Raw genomic sequence first — 11250 nt, 5'->3', positions numbered from 1 at the left:
CAGCCTTCGCCTTCCCAAGAGTGAAGTGGAGACTGGCCCTGGGATACTTTCTGGGGTGGGGGGGAAGGGCAGTGGCAGAGATGGCTAGCGTGGCCCATGCCAACACCCTATTCTGGCCTCCTCTCCCTTCTCAATAATAAAAATCCTGCTGTGGGGTGGGATTCATGGCTCCCACTTACATTTCCCAGATGCTCTTGCAGCCGGGGATGCCACATGATGGTCTGGCCAGTAAGGTGAAAGCAGAAGTCACCTTAACAGGGCAGAAGTCCTTTTCCACTCCCCTGCCACTCCCACTTTCTGCTAACTGGAATGCAAACGAAATGGTAAGATCCCATTTCCCACTAACTGGAAGGCAGGCAAAATGGCAGGAACTTGAGCCTCTCTTGGCCCATGGTGCTAAGAACGGAGGAGCAGCCACATGGAGGGGCCCTAGGCCCTCAAAGCCACAGGCCAGCCACGGCAACCCTCACACGACTTAGACCCTAGATTTCCTTTATACGAGAGAAAACAAACAAGCTTCTGCTGTGTTTAAGCTGCTGCATTTTTAAATATTATATGATCCCGGAGTCTTACATGCAGGAGCAAGGAGTTCTGAGTGCTGATGACGACAGTCCAGCCGCCTTCACACAGGGAGGGCAGCCATTGCCTTCAGTGGGAAAGGAGGGGACCTGGATGCACAGTCCATACCCTGCCCTGTATCTACCCCTTAAGAATTCAGGCTAGGTGCGGTGGCTCACGCCTGTAATCCCAGCACTTTGGGAGGCCAAGGCAGGCAGATCAACTGAGGCCAGGAGTTCGAGACGAGCCTGGCCAACATGGTGAAACCCTGTCTCTACTAAAAATATAAAAATTAGCCAGGCGTGGGTGTGGTGGTGTAAGCTTGTAATCCCCGCTACTCAGGAAGCTGGGACAGGAAATTACTTGAACCCAGGAGGCTGAGGTTGCAGTGAGCCGAGACCACACCACTGCACTCCAGCCTGGGCAACACAGCAAGATTCCATTTCAAAAAAAAAGAGTTCAGGGCCGACATTTCCAAGCCCGATGTGTATCTTCAAAATCAGAAGATAGACACAACCAGCTGCCATTTTTCAAGCATCAACCATATGCCCAGGTGCTCAGCTCAACGCGGCATGAATTAGCCCCACGAGATAAAAATGGTCCTACTATAGATGAAGCCCAAAGAGGTCCACCAAGTTGAGGCTGAAACCCAGGAGCCCTGACCTCCACGCTGGGGCTGGGGTCTTTTCATTCATCTTCACCGTCTCCTAAAGATCCTTAGGGAGCCTGAGAAGCTGAACTTGGCTGACGTCGGGAAGTAAGGACAAAAGGAAAGAAGGGGTGGGAGGGAGAAGAAACAGGAAATGGGAGAAACTCTTGGATTCCTGTAAATGGAGATTATCTATGAAGATGTTCACTGTGGCATTGTTTACAGCAGCAAAAATCTAGAAGCAATCTAGAAGACCATCAACAGAATGCATAAATAAATATGCCACGGCTTCTTCATACAATGGATCTCATATACAGAAAGTAAGCAAACTAAAAAGGCAAGTTGCACAAGAAGGCCCAAGTAATGATACTATTTATATGAAACTTTACAATCTAGGAAACATGGCCACTCTGCAGACACCGGCGCCGTCGGGAAACCTGTTCTATCAGCCATGGTCAACCCCACTGTGTTCTCTGACATCGCTGTCAACGGCGAGCCCTTGGGCCGCATCTCCTTCGAGCTGTTTGCAAACAAGTTTCCAAAGACAGCAGAAAACTTTCACGCTCTGAGCACTGGAGAGAAAGGAGTTGGTTATAAGGGTTCCTGCTTTCACAGGAACATTCCAGGGTTTATGTATCAGGGTGGTGACTTCACACGCCGTAATGGCACTGGTGGCAAGTCCATCTATGGGGAGAAATTTGAAGATGAGAACTTCATCCTAAAGCATACAGGTCCCGGCATCTTGTCCATGGCAAATGCTGGACCCAACACAAACGGTTCCCAGTTTTCCACACGCACTGCCAAGACTGAGTGGTTGAACGCAAGCACGTGGTCTCCGGCAAGGTGAAAGAAGACGTGAAGACTGTGGAGGCCATGGAGCACTTTGGGTCCAGGAATGGCAAGACCAGCAAGAAGATCACTATTGCTAACTGTGGACAACTTGAATAAAGTTTGACTTATGTTTTATCTTTTTTTTTTTTTTTTGAGAAGGAGTCTCACTCTGTCACCCACGCTGGAGCGCAGTGGAGCAATCTCAGCTCACTGCAAGCTCTGCCTCCCGGGTTCATGCCATTCTCCTGCCTCAGCCTCCCAAGTAGCTGAGACTACAGGCGCCCCCCACCACACCCAGCTAATTTTGTTTGTATTTTTAGTAGAGACAGGATTTCACCGTGTTAGCCAGGATGGTCCTGATCTCCTGACCTCATGATCCACCTGCCTCAACCTCCCAAAGTGCTGGGATTACGGCAGTGAGCCACCACACCCAGCAACTTGTGTTTTATCTTAACCATCAGACCGTTCCTTCTGTAGCTCAGGAGAGCACCCCTCTGCCCCATTTGCTCACAGTATCCTAGAATCTTTGTGCTCTCACTGCAGTTTCCTTTGGGTTCCATGTTTTGTTCCCTTCCATGCCTAGCTGGATTGCAGAGTTGAGTTAAGTTTATGATTGTGAAATAAAAGCTATATAATAACAAAAAAAAAATCTAGGAAACATTATGGAGTGTTCTATAAGAGTATGTAGTTGTACAAGTACAAAAATATGCACAAGAATAAACATCAAAGTCGGGGCAGAGAAAAGGAAGGGTTTGAAATCAGAGAACGGTACATCAGGTATTGCAACTGGAATGGTTTATTTCTTCCGCTGAGTGGTTACACTGAAATATTATTTTATACCCTGCTTTGCATGGCTGAAACAGATCATCATTTTAAAAGCAAAGGGAGAATATGCAGTTTATTGCATGTCAACTTTATCTGAAAGCAATTTTTTTTATGCACCTAGAGAGAAAGAGACAGAGAGAGAAAGAGACAGGAGGGAGGGAGGGAGAGAAGGGAGGAAAGGGTTAAGGCCTCCAGACACAGCATCTTCTCCTCATGGCCCACCCTCCTCTCCAGAGGGCCAGCCATGCTGACCACAGCAGCTCCATTCATGAAGCCACAAGGCCACGGTGAAGAGGGCCACTTAAACTCCATGTTGCTGAAGGCTCCTTAAGTGAAGTGACATCCCAAACCTTCCAAAATGAGTTACCCTCAGGCCTGGCCACCCCCAGAACCACATTCAGTCCACCAGCAGTTCTGCAAAGACAAGCACTGGTCGACTCCCTCCCCGCCCGCCCCCCATGGCTGGAGGCAGGGCAGCCAGGCTGGCAGGGCCTAGGCACAGAGACTGTCCTGGGCTGGCTCCCCTGGCACCAAGGAGGCAGGAAGGGCGTGCAGGAGAGGCAGGACCAGAGGAGAGGGAGCCCCAGGAGGAGGGCGCCATGAGCACGGCCAACACTGAGGCCCCTCCGCAGGCGGACAGTGGTTCCTCCACTTCCCCCATCATTCCCCTTCCACAGAAGTGCGGTGACACGGAAGAGACCACACAGTAAGAAGACACCAGGGGCTGGGGCTCCCTGCTCCTCTGACCTGACTCAGTTCACCCCTGGGATCCTCACGCAGCACCTCCCACCAGAGGTGTGGTCTGAAGGTAGGGAGAAGCCACCATGAACCCCTCACATGAAGCAGAAGTAGTGTGCGACGTGCCTACCTGGTGGCCCCCGGTAAGCACCAGATGAATGGGAGGAAGGGAGTGAAGGAAAGAGAGAGCGGAGAAAGGAAGGGGGAAGGGAGGAATGGAAAAAGAGGGTGCAGGAGAAAGAAGGGGGAAAGAGAAGAATGGAGACAGTAGGGAGAGAGGGAGGGAGGGTAAGTCAGTGACAGACAACTCAACTTAAGGAGCAGCAGCTGGACTCCCACAGTCACCTTGCCCTCTCCAAGCCCGGGGGGTACAAAGTCCACGCCCACAAGCTCTGAGCAGGGGGGAACCTGAGTACAGTGGGCTAGGAGGCTGGGGGAGTGGAGAGGCCGTGCCCAGCCTGAAGGGGTGGCCACACAGGAACATGGGCACAGCCAGGAGTGCCCGGTTAAAGGCCTGCCTCTGCTTCTTTAGCTGTAGAATGGGGATGATCACAGGAAGCACCACCTCGGAACTGTCTGGGGATCCCAGGAGCAAAGGGATGGGAGTCGTCTAGAGCTGAGCCAGGCCTGTGGTAAGTCACATAGAAATGTTTGCTTCTGTTGTTATTATTAGAAAATGGATATCCGGAACTTTTTAGGGGAATGCTCCCAACTTTAAAGGCAGACAACTTACTGAAGCTTTAAGAAAAAAAAAAAAAAAAAAAACCACTGTGTGGGCCAAGTAAAACACGTCAGCAGACTTGACTTGGCCCATGGGTCATCCGCTTGCAGCTTCTGCTCAATGCGTCCCTGCGTCCCCGCGTCCCCCAAAGGCAGGCCCAAGTCCTACAGGGGTCGAAAATCATGAGTGAGATTTGAGATCACCCCATTCCAACACAAGCGTCCAAGCCCATGAATCCCTTAATGGGAAATAAATATTTAAGTCAACCCCCGCCCAACTCCCACACCAAAAGGACAGGAACTGCTAATTCTTACCCACTACAACCAAGTCTCCAGTTTTATTTCATAGGATGGAAAAAAAAAAAAAAAGACCTATTTTAAAAAGAAGAAGAAAGGGAAAAAGAAAACCAACAAAGACAAATTCAAAAACGCACCACTGTTGACTTGGGCAACAGCCTCTGCCGGGTCAAAGAGGAAAACAGCTCAGTCCTGAAATCCGTCCCAGACATGGAAATTACAGAGCGGCCCCTGCTGACACCCCCTGCCCTTTCTGTGTCATTCCCTCATGAGGAATGCAATTATATGCCCCCCACGGCAAACACGAAGGAAGACACGTCAGTGACAGCCGCAGCCTGTTCACGTCGTCCTGCAGAGACAGAGGCCGACATAAGCACTTGCAGGCGGTGGCCACCAGTGCAGCAGGAGCTGAAGGCACTGACCTCAGAGGAGGCCGGGCAGGAGGCAGGGGCCGCAGGCAGGCTGGTGGTGTGGCTGAAGGTGCTATATTCACTCCCATTTTATAGATCAGGATGCTGAGGGTATGCAGAGGAGATGGGATCTATGTAAGCTTGGCCCACTGGATGCAAGGCGAACAGGCTCTCCTCGCACCTTCAGGGCAAGCAGTTAAACAGACCAGCCCCTCACACACTCACTGGGCAGCTGCGGTGTGGCCAAGCCCCGAAAGGAACAGGACAAAGTACTGGGCGCAGGCTGCAGATCACCACAGATGCCACGATGTGCCCCTGGATGTCCCTCCAGCCTCCACACCCCACTGTGCACCTCAGCCACCCCAGGGCCTCTGCACTCACCATCCCAACGGCCTCTCCACATCTGCACAGGATCAGCTCCTGCCTCCAGGCCACCTCCTGAGGGGCCTCCCATCTCTCCACCCCTTCACCCTGCCCCTCTACTGTCCTAGCACCTGCCACCTCTGAAGGGGCTCTGGTGATTGGCTGACACATTTGCGGGTGCCACCCCCAGTGAATGCTCAGGTTCCTGAGAGCAGGGCCCATGTTGGGGCACCCTAGGACAGGGCATGGCATGTAGCTGACACTCAACGGTGTCAAGTGAGTGGCTGTGATCAGTGCCTACAAGACCCAGGGGACCCCTGGGGAGATGGGCCACTCCTCCACGCATGGGGCACGCCACACACAGGATACCAGAACGGGCGGCCAGATGAGCCACCATGAAGGACACTGGAAATACGAACAGCTCATCTTCACGAAGCACTTCTGGGGTTCTGAGCCTTGCTCTCAAGTTGGTTCATACATCCTCTCATGGAATCCTGACCACAATTCCAGGTCATAAACACTGCTGCTAATCTCATCTTATAGACGAGGAAACTGAGGCAGAGACGTCACACAACTTGCCCAAAGTTACATATACATCAGAAACACAAATGCAATAAGTGAGATTTCAAAGATGGCGGGTGAGGATGTACCTGTGTGCACGTGCATACATGTGTATACTGAGAGCACATGTGCATGTGCGTGAGTGTGTGTGTACACGGCATATACATTGAGTGCATATGCATGTACATGTCCGTGAATCTGTGTGTGCACCTGCAGCAGTGCCCCCTGAGCTGAGGTTTCACTTTCTGCAGTGTCAGTGACCCATAGTCAACCGCAGTCTAAAAAGATTAGGTGGAAAATTCCAGACAATTCTTTAGTCTTCAATCCCACACTGTCCTGCTGCATCTTGTCCAGGACGTGAGTCCTCCCTCTGTCCAGTTTGTCCACACTGCATGTCCTAGCTGCCTGTGAGTCACTCAGCAGCCCTCTCTGTACTCAATTCCACTGCCATGGTATCATGGTGCTTGTGTTCAAGTCACCCTTATTTTATGTATAAATTAAACTTTATCACCAGTATGTACGCGTAGGATGAAACAGAGTCTATGTAGGGTTCAGTACTCTCCACCATTTCAGGCATCTACTGGGAATCTTGACACATATCCCCCAAGGATGAGAGTGGACTACTGTATAACTGTGTGTGTGTGTGTATTTGTGTATGCATGTGTGTGTGCACATGTGTGTATGTGTACACTGGTATGTGTATTACATGTCTGCACATGTGTATATGTATGCCTATGTATCTGTGTGCATGTCTGCATACATGTGTATGTGTACATATGCATGTACAAATGTATGTGCATGTACATGTATGTGTGTATGCATTTGTACGTGTATATGCATATGCACATGTATACACATACATGTATACATATGTGTGCACCTATACATATTTATGTGTGCATATGTGTGCGTGTGGGTACATTTATATGCATATATTGTGCCTGTGTGTACAAGCAAGTATATATGGTATGTGTATATGTATTTCTATGTGTGCATGTATGTGTACATGTATGTGTGTGCGCATGTGAGTATATTTATATGCATGTATTGTGCCTATGTGTATACGTGTATATGTACATATGTATGCATGTATATGTGTATATGCACAAGTATGTCTACATGCATTTATGTGTACGTGTGTGTGCATGTGGGTATATTTGTATGCACGCATTGTGCCTGTGTGCATGTGTGTATGCACATGTTTGTGCGCACATGTGTGCCTGTGTGCATGTGTGTATGCACGTTTGTGCCTGTGTGCATGTGTGTATGCATATGTGTGTGCCTATGTGTATGTACACCAATCATAACACTCCCTTTTCTTTCCCAAGAAAGGATTTCTTTTTGTACTGATCTCAGGAGTTTCAGGGCTACAGCGAAGAGATCACATGAGGAAGTCAAGAATTGTGTTTACTTACAAACTATATGGAACCAATATTTAATCATTTTCTACTTACAAAATCCCAATTTTGGCTGGGCACAGTGGCTCATGCTCGTAATCCCAGCAGTATGGGAGACCAAGGTGGGAGGATCCCTTGAGCTCAAGAGCTCAAGACCAGCCTGGGAAACACAGCAAGATCTCATTTATAATCTTTTTAATAGCTTTTTTAAATCTCAATTTCCTATGGCTCCAGCCAGTATAACCCCAAGACTCCACCTTCGTGGTGGACTCGAACCTCCAGGTGGCCTGTCAGCAGCGCCTGCTCAGATCCAGCCTTATTTTTAGCACTTTCTCCAGACAACCCAAGGGAAAAGAAAGCTGTTTTGAGGTCAAACTTCTGAAACATCTGTCTCTGTGACCCGGCCTCTGTGCAAACGCCACTACTCCCAGGACATGAAAAGCACCCTGCAGATGCCCAGAACCCCAGCCACCACAGCCAGCAGGCTGCACGTGCAAAGAAGGCTCTGGACCCAAGCTGCCTGGACGGGGCGCCTGGATGGGGCACCTCTTGAACCGCTGGGGCTCTCTCCCAGCATCCCTGCGGCGCCTTTGTCTCAAATGTGGAAGCAGCAGAGAGCTGAGGCCAGGGGCCGCTTTATTTCCCTATTGCTTTCAACATCTTCTTTTGAAATTCTCTTTAAACTGAAACTGTCAAAAGTTGTGTCTGATAAATCTGAAGGTTGTAGAGGAAGTGGTTTGTTCTTCCTCCTGCTCATGATTTCTGCACAAGATAGTACACAGTACTTGGTGAACTGTCAGGCAAGGCAAGAGCTCCCAGTGAGGGCCAGAGGAAATGCAGGAGATCACTGAGGCCTGCTCTTTACCTGCTGCTGCTGTCAGACACCAGACAAGGTCAAGGGTGCAGCAGACAGGAGGACCCCAAAGAAGGCCCTCCTCATCCCTCCCCATCCCATCCTCCAAGACATTCAGGGAAATGTTCAAACAGAACTGGCCTGGTGGCTCTGATACTCCCACGGCAGCCTGGCTGTCGGGTGTTATTATCCCATTTTCCAGGTAGAGTTTAACTAACGTAATCAGAATGTAAATAACATGCTCAACTTAATTTCAATAACTAACTTGCCCAATGTCACACATAGTGAGTTCTCTGAAGAACTGTGAATCCACAGTTCAGGCAAAGCCTGAACTTAAGAAGGTCTGACTCCAAAGCCTGACGTCACCTGCCCTGGGAAGCCCTCTCTGGCCCCTCAGACCTTGGGTGTAGTCAGGTCCCCTCCTCTGTAATCTTGGTAACAGTAGCAATGACAGTGGTAACGGCAGTAATAAGAGCCCTCTGTTTTTCCTGTATACTTTCTCTGTGTCAGACACAAGGCTAACACCAGATGTGCATTATCTCACTGAATCCTTCACAGAAGCCCATGGAGTTGGTACCGCTATCTGCCCCATTGTACTGATGAAAAACAAAAGCTCAGAGAGGTGAAGTTACTTGACCAAGGTCACACAGCAGGCAAGTGGCAGAGCCCAAGGTAGAACTTCCAACATGCTGTTTTGATTACTGGCCTGGGCTGATCCCAGTTTTCCTATACGTGACAATTCTTTGCATTATCTTGGGTCTAGATGCTTCTAGTCCAGAATGACCCCAAGGGCTGCCAGCCCCTTTGGGTTTCCCCACCAACGTCAAAGGTTGAGGGACAGAGGACATTTCCCTGTTGGCAACGAACTGGGCCCCACACTCCTGATCAGCTCAGCCATTGCCAGGTTCTTGGGCCTAAGGTTGATCCAAATCGGGGCAAAGAATTAGGTCCTCTCAAAGCGGAGTAGGAAAGAACAAGACGTTCATGGGGCCTTCCTGTAATTCGGCTTCCATGTTGAAGTCCAAAGTCCCAAGGCCAGCATGCAGGCAGCTCACTGCGTCCGCCCTCCACAATTCCACCAGCCCCCAGCCCACTCAATACACCTGAGGCCTATGGAGCGTGTGCCAGGCCTCACCAGGCCCCTCGGACTTTCCCAATGCTGTGTTCTGCCCAGAAAGCTCCTCCCTGCTTTCTCCTCCTGGCCTGAGCGGACCCATTCTTGGATCAGCAGCCTTCTCTCCAGGGACCCTGCTGCTTCCCACGAGTGCCCACCCTGAGTCACCCTCGTTTGCGGGCACTGGAACCGATTGTCCATAACTCTCTTCTCCCATGCTGTTGTCTCCACACTCCCAACCCTTAGCACAATGCCTGGTACCCAGGAGGTGCCCCATAAGGGCATGCTTCAGGCACGATGCCTAACTGCTGAATGAGAGAACACTCTGAAAGCACAGAGGGCACGGCACGCGCAGGCCCCTGCGAGAGGCCTGGGGCATATCTGCTCACTTCTCACTTCGTTCTCACCCTACAAGGTGCGGAAGGTTCCATCCTTGCCCTCAATTTACCCGCAAGGAGAGGGACACTCATGCAGATGGGGCCGCAGAGCTGGAATTCCAGCCCCGGCCTCTCTCTGAGTTTGCGCTCTACTTCCAGAAAACGGACACATCACCTGGGGGTCTGAGTGGGCAGTGGGAGAGTGAGCACACTTTACAGTTTATCTTGAAGACAGGCTTGGGAGCCTGAGATGAACATAGAGAACCATGGCCTTCTGCCTCCCCAGCCCTCTGGCCCCTGCCCAGGAAAGCCCGCTCATTATCTTGGGCTCCAAAAAGCTACCCAAAAGGTTGCCCCTGATCGTGCATTTCAAAGACTTGTTCACCTGGACTAGAGGACCACAGGAGCCCCACATTAGAAACAAAGGAGCAAGGGCCGGGCATGGTGGTGCACTCCTGTGATCCCAGCTACTGGGGAGGCTGGGATGGGAGGATCGCTTGAGTCTGGGAGGTTGAGAATGCAGTAAGCCGTGATTTCATCACCGTACTCCAGCCTGGGAAATACAGCAATACTCTGCCTCAAAAAAAAAAAAAAAAAAAAAGAAGGCCAGGCACGGTGGCTCACACCTATAATCCCAGGACTTTGGGAGGCCGAGGCAGGTGAATTGCTTGAGTCCAGGAGTTCAAAACCAGCCTGGGCAAGATGGCGAAACCCCATTGCTAATAAAAATTTAAAAAGTAGCCAGGCATGGTGGCACATGCCTGTAATCCCAGCTACTCGAGAGGTAGAGGCAAGAGAATCGCTTGAACCTGGAAGGCGGAGGTTGTAGTGAGCCAAGATCATGCCACTGCACTCCAGCCTGGGTGACAGAACGAGACTCCATCTCAAAAAAAAAAAAATAAAGAAGAAAAAGAAAAAAATAAAGGAGCAAAAGAGAAGAGGCCAGGAAAAGTAAAAACACTAAATTCCTCTTTTTTCCAGACCAAACCTGGGGTATAAATGCCATTTTTGAGGGTGGCGCATTCAAATCCTCTCATCTTCTCACAGGAGGCCTTTACGGGGTAAAGAGAAACTGAGGGGAGCCTCACAGAGGGGGAGAGGCACCGCTGCTGGGGGCACTGCTATAGAGGCTGCTCTATGTTAAGCCCCTGCCTCACTAGGCAGGCTTTGTCCCACCTTCCCAACGGGGCAGAAGGTTGTCAAGCGCCTCATCTGGGATGGGAACACCAGGCTGGGGCACTCAGACTGGTTGCGGGATGTGCCCAGGTCCCAGAGTGAGTGTTAGGGACCGGTGACAAACATGGGTCCACGTCCAGCCCAAGGGCGTGGGCCCACATCACACAACCTCGCCTAAGCCCCTTGCCTGGTGGGATGGAAACTCGCTCAACTAAAAAAAACTTCTAGAGCCCAAGAAGATCCTTGTTCCTGCCCAGCGAGGATGGACAGCTTCAAAGGGCAGTTTGGGGGTTTCTGTTTATTTTCCTGTATGTTCTGGTCACCTCAATCATCTAACCAGAAGAACTGGCCCAAAATTAGGCACAAGAAAAAAGGAAAAAG

The 11250-nt window shown here is 50.5% G+C and overlaps 1 protein-coding gene and 1 pseudogene across 3 annotated transcripts in view, besides 1 other annotated feature; one reads left to right on the top strand and one right to left on the bottom strand.

The window, feature by feature from the left end:
* CMIP (c-Maf inducing protein) overlaps positions 1–11250 on the bottom strand; it is a 266955-nt gene that overhangs the window by 233585 nt on the left and 22120 nt on the right. The window lies entirely within an intron of this gene.
* PPIAP51 (peptidylprolyl isomerase A pseudogene 51) lies at positions 1619–2679 on the top strand (annotated as a pseudogene).
* Positions 7847–8347: an enhancer, noted in NCBI's record as "H3K4me1 hESC enhancer chr16:81503436-81503936 (GRCh37/hg19 assembly coordinates)". NCBI's record gives its function as "activates a minimal SCP1, AML or CMV promoter by ChIP-STARR-seq in primed H9 embryonic stem cells {active_cell/tissue: H9 hESC(primed)}" and the evidence as "EXISTENCE:reporter gene assay evidence [ECO:0000049][PMID:30033119]".

This window comes from Homo sapiens, chromosome 16 (assembly GCF_000001405.40).
Source record: "Homo sapiens chromosome 16, GRCh38.p14 Primary Assembly".
In the NCBI taxonomy this organism is placed as follows: Eukaryota; Metazoa; Chordata; class Mammalia; order Primates; family Hominidae; genus Homo; species Homo sapiens.
The sequence above is the reverse complement of the archived record's forward strand: the minus strand, read 5'-3'. Positions and strand labels throughout refer to the sequence as shown.